Source organism: Homo sapiens, chromosome 12, assembly GCF_000001405.40.
Source record: "Homo sapiens chromosome 12, GRCh38.p14 Primary Assembly".
Taxonomy (NCBI): domain Eukaryota; kingdom Metazoa; phylum Chordata; class Mammalia; order Primates; family Hominidae; genus Homo; species Homo sapiens.
In genome coordinates this window covers 15,904,758-15,923,902 of record NC_000012.12, presented here as the reverse complement: position 1 = coordinate 15,923,902, position 19,145 = coordinate 15,904,758, and the positions used below count along the sequence as shown (strand labels likewise).

At 40.2% G+C, this 19,145-nt stretch overlaps 1 protein-coding gene across 3 annotated transcripts in view, besides 5 other annotated features; it reads right to left on the bottom strand.

Moving 5' to 3' along the window:
• DERA (deoxyribose-phosphate aldolase) overlaps positions 1 to 12,571 on the bottom strand; it is a 126,050-nt gene extending 113,479 nt beyond the window's left edge. For 2 of the 3 annotated variants that reach the window (NM_015954.4, NM_001300779.2), the window contains exon 1: positions 12,489 to 12,571. In NM_015954.4, the coding sequence (NP_057038.2) occupies positions 12,489 to 12,519 (31 nt within the window). In that variant the 5' untranslated portion in view covers positions 12,520 to 12,571. Of the gene's footprint in view, positions 1 to 7,586 lie in introns of all 3 variants that reach the window. The other variant, XM_024449001.2, reaches the window with a different exon arrangement.
• Positions 7,213 to 7,426: a silencer, noted in NCBI's record as "fragment chr12:16069411-16069624 (GRCh37/hg19 assembly coordinates)". NCBI's record gives its function as "represses an EF-1alpha promoter that drives an FKBP-Casp9 reporter gene in an ReSE screen in K562 erythroleukemia cells {active_cell/tissue: K562}" and the evidence as "EXISTENCE:reporter gene assay evidence [ECO:0000049][PMID:32094911]".
• Positions 11,393 to 12,136: an enhancer, noted in NCBI's record as "OCT4-NANOG-H3K27ac hESC enhancer chr12:16064701-16065444 (GRCh37/hg19 assembly coordinates)". NCBI's record gives its function as "activates a minimal SCP1, AML or CMV promoter by ChIP-STARR-seq in naive H9 embryonic stem cells {active_cell/tissue: H9 hESC(naive)}" and the evidence as "EXISTENCE:reporter gene assay evidence [ECO:0000049][PMID:30033119]".
• Positions 12,137 to 12,881: an enhancer, noted in NCBI's record as "H3K27ac hESC enhancer chr12:16063956-16064700 (GRCh37/hg19 assembly coordinates)". NCBI's record gives its function as "activates a minimal SCP1, AML or CMV promoter by ChIP-STARR-seq in naive H9 embryonic stem cells {active_cell/tissue: H9 hESC(naive)}" and the evidence as "EXISTENCE:reporter gene assay evidence [ECO:0000049][PMID:30033119]".
• Positions 12,284 to 12,633: a silencer, noted in NCBI's record as "silent region_4282". NCBI's record gives its function as "represses an Ori minimal core promoter by ATAC-STARR-seq in GM12878 lymphoblastoid cells {active_cell/tissue: GM12878}" and the evidence as "EXISTENCE:reporter gene assay evidence [ECO:0000049][PMID:35858748]".
• Positions 12,654 to 12,713: a silencer, noted in NCBI's record as "silent region_4281". NCBI's record gives its function as "represses an Ori minimal core promoter by ATAC-STARR-seq in GM12878 lymphoblastoid cells {active_cell/tissue: GM12878}" and the evidence as "EXISTENCE:reporter gene assay evidence [ECO:0000049][PMID:35858748]".

The window sequence follows — 19,145 nt, the reverse complement described above, 5'->3', positions numbered from 1 at the left end:
ATGTGTTCTATTTGAAAAAACAACAAGAAAAAGTTTAACCAAATATGGATTTTCCAGGGGCAGATGAGAAAGCCCAGAGGTAAAGAAACCAGCTATGAAGCCACCATTGTGATTCAGATGTGTGATAGAATGAGCCAAGCCTAGGGAATAGAAGAGAGGAAGAGATGAATTCACAAGATATTTTTATGAAAAAAAAAAAAAGGAAGACTATAACCAATATTCTGCCATGCAGAGGAATGAATACAAAATAAAAGGCTCTGTTCACATAAGAATTTTTAAGTCAAGGTATACATTCATGAGACCTTGACTTAAGATCTAGAGAAAGAGAAAATATAATGTGTCTAGTCATCAGAGATAGGGCTGAAAATGTAAACTGATCACTGGAATTCAGAGCCTTGAAAGCCAGAGAAGATTATGCTGGCCAGAGAAGGAAGGAAAAGGTCTGAACTGCAAGCACAGGGAACATTCTAGACCTACAATTCCACCAAATGGTCATTTTAAGGAATGATCAGAAGACTCAATGAAGTTCAGAACCAGAAGGGTTTTCAGAAATCTGTGTCTGTTTTTTAAAAGCAAAAACAGGCCGGGCGCGGTGGCTCACGCCTGTAATCCCAGCACTTTGGGAGGCCGAGGCGGGCGGATCACGAGGTCAGGAGATCGAGACCATCCCGGCTAAAACGGTGAAACCCCGTCTCTACTAAAAATACAAAAAATTAGCCGGGCGTAGTGGCGGGCGCCTGTAGTCCCAGCTACTTGGGAGGCTGAGGCAGGAGAATGGCGTGAACCCGGGAGGCGGAGCTTGCAGTGAGCCGAGATCGCGCCACTGCACTCCAGCCTGGGCGACAGAGCGAGACTCCGTCTCAAAAAAAAAAAAAAAAAAAAAAAGCAAAAACAAAAACCACTATTTTTTAGAGCAGTTTCAGACTCACAGCAAAACTGAACAGAAGGTACAGAGATTTCCCACACAAGCTTTGCCCCACACATGCATAGCCTCCCCCATTATCAACATCCCCCACCAGAGTGGTATAAACCTTACAACTGATGAACCTACATTCTCGTGTGTCTGTTTTACAGACTTGGAAAGTACAAGCCAATGTACTGAAGCCCCTCCCCACCCCGCAAGGTTCCACAGCTAGATGCTATCAGGTCTACAACTAAAGTGCCTGGGTCCCAATCCTGTATCCTTCCCAGATAAACCACAGTGCATTCAATGAAGCACAAATGGGCAGGTACACATTCCCTGACATTCTTTCCACAGGATACCTAATTTCAACTTGGCCTGTAAAAACAACTACTGTCAAGCACCAAAACAACTGAACTTTCTCTAGGATGCTTTTCTTTCAGACGGTCTTCAGTATTATCAGCATCAATGCCTATTTTCTAGACTCTACATGCTAATCACTGTGTCCCAAAATTTCTCTATATTAGTAGTTTAATGCAACACTCAGTCAAATATAGCATTCATCTGCAGACTGAAATTATGATTTTTTTCTTGCTGGAGACAGATCTATGGAAATGTTTTCACTAATAAAAATCCATATGAGATCTTTGCCTAGCTCAAGAGATTTCCCACAGCATTTTTAAATGATTATCTAAAGGTTAATAATACAATGTTGACTGGCTAATCATTTCAAACAGGGCAAGTGCATATCCTGATGATGGCCACAGTTTGCTTTCCTTGACAAGAATAAGGCAGCGTACTTCCCCGGGGATATTTTAAAATTTGATGAAGGTAAGCTTCTCAAGGGCAGGGCTCCTAAGTTCTATTGCTCTTATAGCTTTCACAAAGACATGGACAGTGATGAGTTCACAGTACTCAACATACACATGCTGAATGAATGACTTTGAGATTATAATAATGATTGCCTCCTAAGAAGTCAAAAGTTAAAAAAGGAAAACTCTGCTTATAAAGACACAAAACTAAAATACATTTCTTGTTTATTCCTTGGAAAATTATTTATTATTATTATTATTATCTGAGATGGAGTTTTGCTCGTCACCCAGGCTGGAGTGCAATGGCGTGATCTCGGCTCACTGCAACCTCTGCCTCCTGGGTTCAAGCGATTCTCCTACCTCAGTCTCCCGAGTAGCTGGGATTACAGGCGCTCGCCACCAAGCCCGGTTAATTTTTTTATGTATTTCTAGCAGAAACAAAGTTTCACCATGTTGACCAGGCTGGTCTCGAATGCCTGAACTCAGATGATCTGCCCACCTCAGATTCCCAAAATGCTGGGATTACAGGCATGAGCCACCATGCCTGGCCTCTTTGGAAAATTATTAGAAGCACTTAAGTTTCTTGCTACTTACTGAAGAAAAAATAATCTCCCTCAAAATACCACAATATACAGATCTTGAGCTCCTTCACCAAATACAATAGGAATTGTTACAACCTACTTTCTTCCCTGAGTCCAAAATACAAACTTAATCCATAATCTCAAGGAAACATGAATATGTTTTTTTCTACCAGAAAATTAACGGAATTACTCTTTCTGGTTAATCTCACATCTTCAGCTAATGGGATTAGAGGTCTATCTCCTCCAGTCTCTGAGACCACAGAGAAGATATCCTTATGTCAATTTCCAAAATCATCAAGAACACTGATTATATCCTTCCACTAACCACTGGCATCATTTGAATAAAGTATGTCCCTTTTCAGACACAGTGCACTTTTCAGATATATGCACTTACTTCACTACGTCACCCCGATGTTTCCAACATGCCTTCACATTCACTTTAACACATTTCTTCACTTATCTCAATCAAATAAAAAGGCTTATTTCTTTCCATATTTGCTTAGAGAAACTTTGCTTATCAGTGTAAAATATATGATATATAAAGATAATAAGATTAAGGTAAAAATGACATAAGATTTATCAAAAAAACAATAGCTCGTAATTAAAGATTCTCTGAATCTGAACCTGGGTCTACTCCACAGCTTACTGCATGGTTCTGCCCCTGCAGTATTCATTCATAAGAGCTATCTGGGAATCTTATAAAAATGCAGACTCATGGGCTTTCTCCCCATAATACAAATAATTTGGTATTTTTGGGGGGGGTATTTTTGAGACGGAGTCTCGCTCCGGATGTATCACCAGGATGGAGTGTAGTGGCGCAATCTCGGCTCACTGCAACCTCGCCTCCTGGGTTCAAGCAATTCTCCTGCCTCAGCCTCGCGAGTAGCTGGAACTGTTACAGGCATGTGCCACCACGCCCAGCTAATTTTTATACTTTTAGTAGAGACGCGCTTTCACCATGTTGGCCAGGATGGTCTCAATCTCTTCATCTCATGATCCGCCCGCCTCAGCCTCCCAAAGTGCTGGGATTACAGGCATGAGCCACCACGCCCAGCTTCCATAATACAAATAATTAAAGCTATTGTGGGGCTCAGGAATCTGTGTTTTTTAACAAGCGTCTTAGGTGATTCTAAGGCAGGGTCAGAGCCCAGCCAAGCTCATGGTAAACTAGTGGAAAAGAAGGTAACGCAACGTGCTAGACTAAACCAGCATAGACAGAGCCTGAATTTCCATTCCAGGACTACCTCTAACCAGCCATGTGACTACAGGCTTAACTTCCCTAGGTCTCAGTTTTCTTACCCACAACAGAAGGGGGTTGGACTGATAACAAACATGCCTTTCTGCTAGGAAATTCCATGACATGAAAAACAACAACAAAAAGAGGTAGCCTTATAAGTGTGGACACTATTATTTTCCTAGAAAAGAGTATCTGAAATATTCATAAGAGGTAATGTTTATTCAAGAATCTCTACATCACAGATAAGGAGTCTCTATCTATACCTTCAGCAGGCCAGATACCTAGTTCAATGTCAAATTTTAGACATTTGAATGAAATCCCTTTTCTGTCTCTCTCCCTCCCTCCCTCTCTCTCTCTTTCTCTCTCACACACACACAGACACACACACACACACACACACATTTCTTTCTCAGGCTGTGGGGCAGTCCATTAGGCGGACAGTTGAAAACCTTATCTGAATCTGGATTATGAGAGCAGTTAATCTGGATATTTTTCCAGACTTTAAAGACCTTAGCATCATTAACCACCTTCCAAAAGAACAAAGACACCAGTTAAGTGGCACCTTTTTAGGAAATAACTACCAGCAGCTACTCTTGTCTTAGACTTTGCTTTGCGGGAGGAAGGCCTGACTATACAGAGAGCCAGAAGTTGCAGCCAGAGTGTCTCAACATTTAAAAAATCTGTATAGTTTGCTGGAGCCAAGATTAAACATTTATCCTTCCCTTGCAACCACTTTGGTTTCTAGGGAACTCACTGTTACAGCTGAGGCAGGCTGAGGAGAAGTACATTCGTAGACACATACACAACACACATCAAAGTTAACTGAAAAATTTCAAAGTGCCTTTTTATGCCTTTAACTCAAAAGATGAACACATTTCAAGGTGACCCAATCCTCAAGTGACAGACAGTGTTTTAAAAGGGCCAGAGCTCTCCACTTAAACAATTTCTGGTGACATGTTTAAATCGCATCCTCAAGGGCTCTGTCTGCTGTCTCATTTACTAGTCTTTCTTTCCTGGCAGAAGCATCCCATTTTAAATAAGTGCTTGAAGTTTTTCTTCCTTCCTAATAATCAAAATCCACCGGGCTTAGATGCTTTTTAAAAAAAAAAAAATGTTTTTTAACTTAGCAGGCACCGCAGAGGACTTTTAATTATTTAATTATACAACAAACCCAAATTATTACTTTATAGTTTTTCTATTTATCAAATAGTATCACAATAATAAAAGACAGCCTCATCATTTATGCTTACAAGCAAAAAGTAAAAGACTTCTAAGGTAAAATCAAAGTAGTTAGCATTCACAAAAGGATGCCCCAGTTAAAATCTAAAATGTACATAATTATTGACTCTGTGTATGTATTTCACACATAGGCTATGAAGGATTTTTTTTCTTTCTTCATGAAAACATTACTCTTAGCCATTATAGTATAATGAGAAGATTACACTAGATACCTGAAAATTGAGTTCCTATAGTTAATGAAACATGCCAGGCTGCTTTTGCTAGTCCCTTTGTAGAAACTACTCCGTCAGAAACATCCTCTCCAAAAAAACCCTCCCTGGACTGTCTGTGAATTCGTCTTTATCCTTCCAATCCCACCACGTTCCTGTTGTCAGTTTTAACATGCCGTATGTGGTGATTTACATAAACATCTCCCTTAGTTGCCTGTGAGCTCTGGGAAAGCAGAGACCAAGTCAGGCTCACCTTGGCATCCCTGCCATGACCATGAGCAGCAAGTAACAAGTGCCAGGAACAGCAGGCACTCCACATAAAGGTTTTTAAAATATTCTTATATATTTACATTTTAAAAATTAAAAAAAACAAATTATTCTGGCCCCCTTCCCCTTCCCAAACGATTGTCCTAAACCGTTGGGGTGGGGCACTGAAGAGGAGGTGAACAACGTAGTCATTCAAGCCGGGTTGAAATGGGGGCACCACTATGGCCCAGAGTGGGCCAAACAGAATGGGGTAGCCCAGAGTCCAATCAGAACAAGGAGGGGATCTGCACAAAGCGGGAGCAAGACATAGGGAGTGGAAGCGCAAGCAGGGTAAGGAGGGTATCCACCTGCAGAGGGAGGCGAGGCGGCCGGGCACAGAGGTCCACAGCCCCACACTAAGGTAACAGGGAGATTTGTGTAGGCAGCAGCCTGCTGTGGGGGACCAAGCACCAGCGGGATGAGGAAGGCAGACTCACAGGAGGGAGGCCCAGCTCAGGGGTCAGAGCCTGAGAACAGTGAGAAGAACATCTGCTGGGGCCAGGGGAAGCATGTGGAGTGTTTCAAATATGGAAAGGGAGAACACTGGGATAAATCCTGTGGTGTTGGACCAGAACTGGTGGTATTAGTGTGAACTCATGGTTTTCACTATGTAGATACAGAGAGATGATAGGTAGATGAATCTAGAAGTGTGTGTGTATACAGTACATACATTTTTCAGCTCTGCCAGCTGAGGGCCTTGGGAACAGAGTCACCCATCACAATGAGCATACCTAGTGCTCAGATCTTGGCTTCTCATATCGTTATCCACTGAAAAAAATGCTGCCTGGAGAACTGGCTGACTTTGGTGCTGGGAAAGGGAAATTATAAGATAAGCCAGAAATACCTTGTTGAAACACCCACCCCTACCCCAGTCTGTGGAAAAACTGTCCTCCACAAAACCACTTCAGTCCCTGGTGCCAAAAAGGTCCGGGACCGTTGGTGTAAAGCAAAGGGTAAAAAACTTGTAATCAGAAGTTCTGCATTTGAGTCTTGACCTCAACTCTTACTAGCTCTGAGGTATAATAAGCAAGTTACTTGTGTTTTCTGAGCCTTAGTTTTCTCATCCATGAAATGAGAATGATAATGCCTAGCACAATGGATTCCTGGGAGAATTAAAAGAGATTATGTTAGAAAAGCACTCTATGAAATCTAAAGTAACATATGTATGTTAAGTATTAAATATTAAAGAGAAAAAAATTAGATTCAGACATAAAACCCACATTAACTTAAAATTACACAAATCAATTTTATTGTTTAAAGAAACCTCAAGTTAACTCCAGTTGGGAAATTCCCTGCAGAAATCTAAAAATTTTTAAATTCTCTTACCACCTGAGCTAAGAGCTAGAGTCAAATTTTCATATGCCACCTAATGAAGAATACACTGCCTTATGTTTTAGTTTTTTGTTTTTGTTTTTTCACTAGGAATTGACTTTTTTAACTTAAAGGCAAAATTTAAAGGCCTCTATCTCAATAAAAGAAATATGGGGACTTTGTAAGGTGTATTAGGTCACTTCTCACTTGTGACCCATAGATTCCTTAAACTGTTTATCTTGTTTACAGCTAAAGAGATTCCAGTTCTATTTTTCAGGAAACTACTAAGAGAAACTCCAGACGTAGAAATTCGGGACAAAAAAGTCACTCTAAATTAACAAAATTATCAAATACTTCACTATTTCTACTTAATTTTTTTTAACCTAAAGAACAAGAGCCTGGCACATTGACTACAGCCTATAGTCCCAGCCACTTGGGAGGCCACAGAGGGAGAACTGCTTGAGCCCAGGAGTTCAAGACCAGCCTAGGCAACACAGCAAGACCCCATCTCTTATTTTAAACATTTTTTAAAAGAATACATCAAGAAACAGGATTGTGCCAGGTGCGACGGCTCATGCCTGTAATCCCAGTACTTTGGGAGGCCGAGGCAGGTGGATCACCTGAGGTCAAGAGTTCAAGACCAGCCTGGCCAACACTGTGAAACCCCATCTCTACTAAAAATACAAAAACTAGCTGGGCATGGTGGCGCATGCCTGTAATCCCAGCTACTCAGAAGGCTGAGACTGGAGGCTCACTTGAACCCGGGAGGCGGAGGTTGCAGTGAGCCGAGATGGCGCCACTGCACTCCAGCCTGGGTGACAGAGTGAGACTCTGTCTCAAAAAAAAAAAAAAAAAAAAAAGAAACAGTATTGGTTTTTAAACCTAGAAGCTGAGGCCAGCCCAAAGACTGGAGTATGAAAGGTAACGTTTTACAAAACTGCAAGAGACGAAAACAAACACACACACAAAGAAAAGCCCCACTCTATTCACCTTGAGGTCACTCCCTGGTCACCATCACATGATGCTCTGAGGCTCATCAGTATATCCACATGAAGCAGTTCCTGAGGAAGTCTGGTTTTGACATGCCATCCTTGAAAACTTCACTAACATCGAACCCTACTCTCATAATCTACCAAAGTTTGGACTTTTCCATTCTCCCTCAGGATAAATTGCATCTTCTCTGAAACAAACTGCAATGGTTAAGATGTGGGTTATGGCAATAAAACAGTAACCTTTATGTTTTAAACAGACAAATCAAACCTAAAAGAGTAACATTAACAGTATTCACCAGTTATCTATTTGACTCTTCTGACATCAGGGTGTAGTGCTCCCAGTTAGCACCAGTCGACACAGTGTGGTTGTTTAAGCATGTAGCATTATTAGCACCAAATCACCTGGGCTTGAATTCTGGCTCTGCCACATTAGCTATACCTAACTGGTTTTCGGCAGGTTACTTAAAACTCCCTGTACCTCAGTTTGCTCGTGTGTAAACCTGGATCATGCTATCTCCCTCACAGGGCCATTGTGGACTAAATGAGAATTTCAAGCATTCAGCATAGTGCCTTACAAGTAGCTAGAGCTCTGTGTTGACACTATCATTATACCCAGCACCTAAGCACAGTGTCTGCACACAGTAGGTATTAAATAAGGTGAAGAATTATTATGCAAACAGATAGCCTTTGCCTATTGTTGAGGTTTAAGATGCCATTCTAGGCCATGCACGGTGGCTCATGCCTATAATCCTAGCACTTTGGGAGGCAGAGGCTGGAGTATCACTTGAGGCTAGGAGTTTGAGAACAGTCTGGTCAACATACTGACACACGGTCTCTATTGAAACAATAAATAAACAAATAAATAAATAAATATCCATTCCAAAAATTAAACGTTAACTTTGCAGTGGAAAATCACCATCACCCAAATCAGAAACATTCTGTACCCAAGTTATACTTTAGCAGGAATGCCAAAAATGAGCTCCCTAAATCCCTAATTCATAGGTTCTTTTAAAAGGAAATTAAAAATTATAATGCAAAAGGCCCAGGACATTCTGTTTTCACAACCCATTTAAAGCACAGTCTAGGTACATCTATCTAATTTTAGACAAAAATAAATGAAAAATAATTGCACATCACACTTGCATTTAATTGTAGCTCTAGCTTGATGTCCAGGTCCTGAACCAGACCGATTAATAGCTCTGTGAAGGCAGTGACCATCCCTGATTATCTTGTACCCCCAGCCTAGGGTAATACTACCCAGTACAGATTGGTACTCAATAACTACCTAAATAAATGTGCTTCTTAAAATAAAAAAATCCCACCAACCTGGCCAACATGGCAAAAACCCGTCTCTACTAAAAATATAAAAATATTAGCCGGGCTTGGTGGCAGGCACCTGTAATCTCAGCTACTCGGGAGGCTGAGGCAGGAGGATTGCTTGAACCTGGGAGACGGAGGTTGCAGTGAGCCAAGATCACACCACCGCACTCCAGCCTGGGCAACAGAGGGAGACTCTGTCTCGAAAAAAAATACAAAATCCCATCATGGTTATTTTTCAGATATCTTTGAAATGTTGCTTTTTGAACAGAAGAGTTTTCAGACACACAGAGACAGAGCAGGGAGATCCTTAGAAGTCATCTAATAACACCCGCATTCTCCAGACGCCTCCAAAGATAACATTTGCAAGGAAGTTACACTATCTACATCCTTTATAGGCTTCTTGAGATAGCTCTGAAGACGGATGTAACAAAACTGAATCTTAATAATACTTACAAAGAGGAAGAAGGTGCCAAGCTTCACAGCATCTGTCCATGCAACCATACACGGGGACCAGGTAGATTCCCCAGTTCCCCCAAGTAAGAAGCAGCTCTCAATTCATTCCTTCATTCAACAGACTTTTTCTTTTTTTTTTTTTTTTTTTATCTTTTTTGAGACACAGTCTGTCTCCAGTCTGTTGCCCAATGGAGTGCAGTGGCACAATTCCAGCTCACTGCAACCTCCACTCTCTGGGTTCAAGCGATTCTCGTACCTCAGCTTCCCAAGTAGCTGGGACTACAGGCATGCGCCACTATGCCCAGCTAATTTTTGTATTTTTAGTAGAGATAGGGTTTTGCCATGTTGGCCAGGCTGGTCTCCAACTTCTGATCTCAAGTGATCCGGCTGCCTTGAGCCTCCCAAAGTGCCAGGACTATAGGCATGAGCCACCATGCCCAGCCTCAAGACATTTTTGAGGGCCTTCTGTGTACCAAACACTATTCTAGGTACTTGGGACACATCAGTGAACAAAAGAAAGATCACTACCCACGTGACACCTGCATTTTAGGCAATAGTTAAGTGGCATCTAATAAAATAGAAGAATATCTGTACATTTTAATAGACTATATAGGGCATAATAGTCTAGGTACAAAACTTGATAGTACCTTGGAGATCATTAAGCCATTGGTTCTCAAACTTGGGTATGCTTCAGTACTACCCACAGGATTTGTTAAAACTCAGAATGCTGGGCCCCATCCTCTAATATGAAAGCTAGAGGGTACATTCCCTATTTGGAAAACATCTTTCATACATCCAAATGCCAATGTTTTCCTTAAAGACTTTTTAATCATGAGGGTCAGGTTTAGTCTCAAAGGAACTCAATGTTTTTTTAAGTCCATGAACTAGAAGTACATACACCAAATCATAAATAACAGTGATTGGACTAGTAATAATATTACAACATTTTTGTGCTAACTGTATTTTCTAGAATTTTTACAATAACCATGAATTCCTTTTGTAATAAGAAAAGGGAAGCAAAAATGTTAATTTATTTTAGAAATTAGTTACGATGTTTATTAAAAAGACTTTCAATTAGAAAACTATTTTAAAAATCATCAGTTAATATACTGCATAAATTAATACTGAAAGATTTTTTTCCCTAGTACCTAATTCAAATAACTTATTTTAGCATTTCAGTTTAAACCTGTTTGGATTAAGGATTAATACCCGTGAAGGAAAAAAATCTGATTTTAACAAATAAGATAATAAATACAAAGCTATGATCATTTCGATAGCTGCATAAAAACCACATTTACTATTGTTCTACCTGGCAATTATTTATGTCTATTACTTTTCAACAAATGAATGGAAGTGATTGATTCTAATTACTGCAAATAAATAAATTTAAAAATGGTTCAATTATGTTTTTTGAAAGAAAAATTTAAAATGTCTAAGTTTTGGGAAATTTAGGGCACATCCTTGATGTATGCATAGTCACATGGTCATATTCCTGGGAATACCCAGGTAAGACACCACCCCAAACCTGCCCCATATCCACCACCTTCAAGGATATTCCAATCTAAGAAATAATGCCGTTATTACTAAAGACCACGTTCCAGAGATAGGACTAGAGTTTAAAACATAATCAGCTAGAGGACAGTGACTAAAACAAAATCAACCAGGTTAGTAAATCAACTGTCTTTAAAATGATAGATTTACTCTCTTACCATTCGACAAAAAATCCAGAACACCTCTTGGAAGTGCAGACTGTTTAAGTACCAGTCACTTTTAAGGAGGGCGAAAAGGACCTACCTGTATGTGTTACATATAATTTACAGCCAATTTTCTCAAAATTAGCCCCTAAAACCATAACTCCATATACTAATACTATCTATACTGAAGACTTACTAGGTGTCCACAATATACCAAACTACTTTACATGTATCCTATTTAATCTCCTAACGGCCTTATAAGGTAACTACCACTAAAATAACCATTTTACAGATGAAGAAACTTAAGCGCAAAGTTATTAATTTGTCCGAAGTCACACAGGTAAGAAGTTAAAGATCCTGGATACACAGATATCCAAGCTATAATACTTAAACGAGACGCTTAAACCTTCTCTTGATCATGGTTTTGCTGTTTGAATTATAAATTTTTCACATGTTAAGAAATCTGAAGAAAAATTCTCTTCTGCCTTGGGATCCTGTTGATCTGTGACCTTATCCCCAACCCTGTGCTCTCTGAAACATGTGCTGTGTCCACTCAGGGTTAAATGGATTAAGGGCGGTGCAAGATGTGCTTTGTTAAACAGATGCTTGAAGGCAGCATGCTCGTTAAGAGTCATCACCACTCCCTAATCTTAAGTACCCAGGGACACAAACACTGCGGAAGGCCGCAGGGTCCTCTGCCTAGGAAAACCAGAGACCTTTGTTCACTTGTTTATCAGCTGACCTTCCCTCCACTACTGTCCTATGACCCTGCCAAATCCCCCTCTGCGAGAAACACCCAAGAATGATCAATAAAAAAAAAAAAAAAAGAAATCTGAACTAAGGTTTCTTGCCAGTATTTGAACAATATAAAAAAAGATGAAAACTGGGAAATAATACAGGTACTTTAACAAATCTTTGTAACTCTAAAATCCCATGAATCTGCAGTGTTACATTTTGAGCACAGACGGCTGACAACTTTTCCACGAGCACGGCCACTTCAAGGTTACGGTTAAAATTATCTACGGAAATACTGCATTAAATTACACAAGTATTCTATTAAAAGGAGGAGAAAGAAGGTTTTTATCTGTTTTTACCTGCTTGGGGGTTGTTTGTTTTGGGTTTTGTTTTTTGGGTTGTTGGGTTTTCCAACCAGCGAGCTAGAGTGAACGAAAAGGCAGGAAGATAATAATCTAACCCTTTCCTACTCCTTCCGCATACAAGAGTAAAAGCTTAGGTGCAAAGACAAGCGGCGCGAACGTGCCGGGTTCGGCCTTTACTTGGGGTGAGGGCTGACCAGACGCCACTGCTTCCCGCCCCAGCGAAAACCCCTCGGGGACCCACAGCCAGGGCACTGGGCGGCAGCAGGCCCCGCGCTAGTCCCGGCGGCGCTGAACGCGAGGGAGAGGGGATGGGGAGCCCCGCGGGCCCCTTACCGAGCTCGGTGCCCCGATTGTGCGCGGACATGGCGCGGGCAGCTCCGGAGCTGCCGGCTGGTAGGCGCCCGCCTCTGCGCCGCGCCCGGCCCTTCCTCCTTCCCGCCAGCTGGAGCGCTCGCCCCGCCCCTGCCCGCTCCCGGGGCGGAGTCGCGGGCCCGGGCTACGAGGTCTGTACCCTAGGAATATTGCTCCGCAAGGAAATCTCGCTGCTCCCCTCCCCCGTCTTCTCCACGAGGTACCGAACCGGAGCGCTAAGTAGCTCCCGGAAATAATGCTACCAACACCCTTTAAAAAATACTGAAGTTGCCAATTGCACGTAATAAAAATATTCCTAGAAACTTTTAACTGTAAGATTATATAACAAGAAGGAAGAAGATCCAAGTGCAGAGCTCTGCAACTTAAGGTCTGAAATGTCAGCAGGGATCCCATATCCTTGTTAGGGAAACCAAGGTGCAATCAAGGGCCCCGGGGCACACTGACTTTTCTAATCTACACATCATGAAAAGAAGCAGCTATGTGGCCTGAAGAAGGCAAGGGCTTAGGAGTCAGAAGACCTGGTTTCTTAGCCAAGCTCGGGCAATAATTAAATGTGTGACCCTGGGCAAATTAACTGCTTTTCCGAGCTTCATTTTTCTCATCTGTAAAAGAAGACCTTGACAATTTCTTGGTTCTTCAAAATACTATGATTCTATAAAGGTAAAATGCTTCAGCCTGATTTCTCTGTGACCAAGAGGTTAAAATCGTCGAGTCACTCCACAATCTCAATATAGTTAACTTATCTGTACTCACGTTTAGAGGCACCTCTGCTATGAAAACAGTACAGTTAGTTATGATTTGTCTACCATGAGCCAGTTATTGTGCTAGGTGCTTTCATACATCATATATAGATGTATGATAGCATTTGAGTCTCTGAACAATCCTGCCAATAATGTATTTTATCTCCATTGCTGTAACTTTAGACATCAAAGTTCTGAATAGAAAGGCATCCTGGTATAGGGGAAATACAGTGAGCTCAAAATGAGCTGAACCCATTAATATACCAGCTCTTCCATTTAATAAATGTAACTTGGCAGTTCTGGAAATAATAGTCTGTCTACTTACCTGTAAAGTGGAGATGATCAAAATATGTTCACCTTGCAAAGCTGTTGAATGTATGCAAGGCACCTAGTACATAACATGGCATACAGTAGATACTTAAAAAATGGAAGCTGTTAATGTTATTGTCAAGTTCACACAGTAATTACTGAGCTGTTTTAAATAGGAATAGTAATATTTGTATACTCCTCTACATTGAGCTTTCAGCCTTGTCCACACACAGCCACTGTTGAATGTTTCGGATGTGTGTAGATCTTACTCATACATACTATAGCACTTTTCTTTTTTATATTAACCTTGAAAAAGAGAAAAGCAGGCCCTGAAAGCCTGGAGCTGGCCTGAAACTCACAACTGGACCATGGTTTTCCCTGGTTAAACGTATACAATTTCACAGCACAGCATCAGCCAAGGCCATTGTGACCACAATGAATCAACAAAAACATAATCATAATCATGTCTGATAATAGAAAACCATGAATATTGTTCAAATAGCCCCTATCCTAGCTATTATGACTTCTTTACCAATCAGTTCTAGCTTCACTCCATTCCTATGTTTTAGATAAGAATTAAGATGCACTACTATCACCAGTTCCTACCATCATCCAGTCCAGATCCTTCCTTGAACTTTCCCCAAATCACCTACGACAGGCCCAAATCCTATGTAGTTTCTAACATCCTCTTACTGAGACACCTCACATTAGGTGCCCATGGCAAGCATTCTCCCTTGTTACAATGTCAATAAACACAACTTTGTCCACTTGTAGGTGTGTTACTGGTGGTCTCTGGCTGGAGATCATTCACATCTCTAGAAGATACAAAGGCAATACATGAAATTCTATTTTTAGAAGTAAACACAACTCCAAACCAGATTCCATACCATTCATTACATAAATGTTTGTTTGTTTGTTTTTAAATTGTGATATCCTAAATTAGTTGAAAAATCAGAATTAGGGCAGCCTCTTAAAGCAATGTTTTAGCAATGTATCAGTCAAGAATTTCTCAAGGACTTTTTCTAAAATGGACCTGTTGAATGTATTAATCTCAAATTAATCTCTGCAGTTTAAAAGTATGTTAATTTGGCAACATTAGGAGAGACAGCAGGGATAGTATGCAAAAAATGAGTTTCTTTCACAGAGAAATGTTCCTATATTTCATTTTGTGAAGATTCCTTTTACATTTATTGCCTTATGAAACTTCTGAAGTATCCCTAAGGCAAGTCCCCTCAAAGAAAGAGCTATAGACCACTACATGGGAATCACCCAAGAGCTTTTTCTAAAGCAGTTCTGGGCTTCCTCACAGCCCTACTCAATCAGAGTATCTAGGACCCTGGAATCTGTAATTTTAATATTTCTTCAAACAATGTTTATGCAAACTAAACGTAAAGAACCACCAATGAGAAGCAGAGGAAAATAAACTATGCATGCCAATCTGGAGCCATAGCCCAAACTGACTCTTACAAGAGTAAAATTGCTTTTAAAGTATTACATGTTGTATTTTTTAAGCCATGTAAATTTTGCATGCTATTCCTATTCATTGATGTTTTTCAATGTAAATTTTAAACTGCCAAATAAATTACCTAATTATCCTCCCACCCTCACTCCTCCTTTAATTAAAATTAAAGCTCTAGGAATATGTAATATTTATCTTGAAGCTTCTAAGAACCTACCAGTCCTGGGAGATAGGAGTAAAACAAATTTTAAGGTCCAAAGGGCATAGATCATTTGTGTTTGGTTCATCATATGTAGGATCTAGTACAGTAGTTGGCAATTAGTAGACTATAAATATTTGTTAGATGAATGAGTGTATATTGCTGTCTTTGCTACTTTTCTTATACTGCCTACTGTTTTATCCAGTCAAATTTCATTTGATATAGTCTCTACTCCTATGATTTCTAAGAGCAATTATTCACAAGTTCATTAGGTAAATAACCACTTAGACTACAAACTGTCAGCCAGCATTTCTAGGTCAGATGGAGAAAAGTGTAGGAGCAGGGAGGACTATGAAAAATTGTGAATATTAGAGTCAAAATATTTTAGAACTGGAGGGAGACTAATAGAACATCCAATTCCTAGTTCATGGTAAAATAAAAAAAAAATAAGAATTATACTGAGTGTTTTATGAAGCTAAATTTATTCAATTTAAAGAACACTCCTTCATTCTGAGACTACGTTGTTCACTACCAATTTGAATTTTAAAATGTCGTTTTATAAAGATCGTGGCGTTAGATAATTATTTTTTCTTTTTTAATAGCCTCAGTTGGCTAGAAGCCGACCATTCCATCTCCTCTCCCCCATTTTGAAGTCTATTGGCCACAGAATCCTAAAGCTTGGGAATCACTGATACAATATATAATACTCGCTAATATTAAGTGCTTCCTGTGAATTAAGTCCTTTCCATAAAGTATTTGGTATTTCATATTTATGAGATTTTTCCTGAAAAAAATCTGTGAGAACTCTTTTCTCCCTGTACAGATAAACTGAGGCTAAGAGAGATTTGCCTGTAAGTGCTAGACGATTGCTTAAAACCTGGCAATATATAATCATATAACAATATATAACCTTAGACTACACACTATTCCCTACTATCTCTTGGAAGCTAAACTTATTAGACAAACCATTAAACCTCTCTGAAATTCAGGTTTTCCATATATGCAACGGAGACAATTACCTATCTCATTGGATTACTGGGAGAGATTAAAAAGTGACACACGTGTTAACATTAAAACCTAACGTAAGGCACTTATATCATTTCCATACTCGTCCTTAAACTAAAATCAGTTACCTTCCACTTGACCATGTTCTATTCTCTCATTAAAGTGATTCAATCTATAAAGTATTATTATTGTTCATTAGCTATCATTTAGACGCATACTTGGGCCTTGTTTCCAAAGGTAAATTTGTTAGATGCCTCCGAGAACTCTACTGATCTAGTCACCTCAGTCTAAGTGACACTATAGCACACTTGCAATTAAGCATTTCTATATTAAATAGATAACCAATGAAAAGCTAGGCCCCCTCTTATCTGAGAATGTTCTTGCTTTAACAATGTTTTCATGGGTAACCCCCCAGTGTAGCAGACAGACATGCACAGTAACATATAGTAACCTAATAAGAACCTCTTTTTAAGTTGTTAATCCCCTAGGTGTAAAGCATAAGCAAGGTAGCTAGTTGAGAAATATTTTCCATTGGTCTGCTTTTTCAATGCATCTTGTTGTTGCTCCCTTCTGAAAAATTGCATCCATTTTTCCCCAACCTTGGTCTCAAAGAAAAGGCAGCTAAATACTTCCATGGAATTTGAGCAACTACTAAAAAATGTAATCTATAATTTGTTATAAATTATGGTGCATCTATATGCTATTTGGTGCATCTATGCTATTTTGTAGACGTTATAAAGAATGTGTTGAACTTTACTGACATGAAAAATATTCTGAAGAGAATTGAATGACCACACTCAATCCTGGCTTCCTGGAAGAAAACTCTGGATGACACTAAAATAGAGAAGTAATTGATTCATAAAAAGGTAAATTACTAATATTAGGTGGGAACTTGGGATACCATGACCTACTGGAAATTAGGACCTAGAGAGGAGACTCCAGGGGATGAATTGGATGAGAAGGCAAGTGAAAGCTGGATTCTTCCTGGGTAACTTCAGTCTCACACCGGCTGAAGCTGTACACGGGTTCACTGGAGAGGTAAGAGCTTTGTCTTGCCATGTCTGCCATGCCTGCCATGTCTCACTCTTCAGTGGAGGATGGCCTGCTACATATGAGATAACTGGAAAACAGTCTTCCTGGTCTGACATGGATTACTGGGAGAGATTAAAAAGATTTGGTGAGGGACTTGTTTCAACAACTATTGAGCACTCACAACATACCAGTCACCTTTCCAGGTAAAGGGAGACTATCAATGAAGCTGAAAAACATGCAACAAAATTTCAAATAGCGTTAACAAGTATGAATAAAATAGGACTCAGTAAGAAGTGACAAGAGATGGAATACAGACCAGCTGGAGAACTGAATGCAAAGAAAGGATCCAGCCAAGCAAAACATTAGGTAAGAGTGAACCAAGTAGCAGAAATATCAAGTGAAAAGGACTTGAGACAGAAATGAGGCCACTGTGGCTAGAGCAGGGCAAGCAAGGGAAATATGAAAAAGTCACAAAAGGTATCAAGAGCCAACTAATCATAAGAATTTCATATAATGGGAAGCCATTACAGATCTTAACAAGGAAATCACCTCATCTCTTCAAATCCTAAAGCAATTACCTTTCCTACTGTATGGAGTATGGATGGGATAAGAGCCAGACGAATGAGTAGGGGCAAGAGGGAGCAGTTATGAAGGAACTGAGAAATAAAGGTAGCCTGCCTAGGGTGGTAACAATGGAGAGGAGGCAAAGCACAGCTTCGAAGAGCCCACAGGACTTGCATATAGACATGGGCATGAGAGAGAACACAGTCAAGGATTTACATGTCTTTTAGTTTGAACAAGTAAGTATAAGTTAGTACCAGTTAGTGGAATGGGGAAAGGTTGAGGGAAACAGGTTTGATTTAAAAAATCAAGACTTACGATAGGTAAGTCTGAGTCTTATGAAAGGTTAAGATGGAGCACTCAACTATGCTGTCAAACTCTGGTGCTCAAAGAGGCAGACCAGGTAGACAACATATAAACAACGATGTAGAACCTATCAGAAGATCTTGAGTAACAGCAGATATTTTTCTTTAGACAACAGAGCTAGAAAGTGCAGCCCAGATCTGAAGTCAAGAAAAAAAAGGAGGAACTGGCAAATACAAGAGTCAGTAAGGTATAAAAAGACCCTGCCGGGCACGGTGGCTCACATCTGTAATCCCAGCACTTCGGGAAGCCGAGGCGGGTGGATCACGAGGTCAGGAGATCAAGACCATCCTGGCCAACATGGCAAAACCCCGTCTCTACTAAAAATACAAAAATTAGCTGGGCGTGGTGGTGTATGCCTGTAGTCCCAGCTACTCAGGAGGCTGAGGCAGGAGAATCGCTTGAACCTGGGAGGCAGAGGTTGCAGTAAGCTGAGATCGCACCATTGCACTCCAGCCTGGGTGACAGAGCGAGACTCCATCTCAAAAAAAAAAAAAAAAAGACCCAGGAGTGTAGTTTCATAGAAGCTAAAAAAAAAAATCAAAAACCAGGAAGTGGATGATTATTGAATGCTGCTGAAGGTTTAGTTAAGATGAGAACAGAAAAGTGACCACTACTCTTGAAAGTTTTGTTAAATTCTACTGTAGGATTCTACCATTACCAAGTGTGGTAAGCAGACTAATAACTAATGGCCCCCACAAAGATGTCTACTTCCCAATCCCCAGAACCTGTGAATATGTCATCCTATATGGCAAAAGGGACTTTTGCAGATGTGATTAAATTGAAGATCTTGAATTGGAAAGATTATCCTGGATTATTCAGGTGAGCCCGATATAATTACAAACCTCCTTATAAATAAAAGAAGGCAGCAGGAGATAGAGTCACATTCAGAATAAGAGATTAAAAAACGGACACTGCTGGACGTAAAGAAAGAGGAAGGAACCATGAGC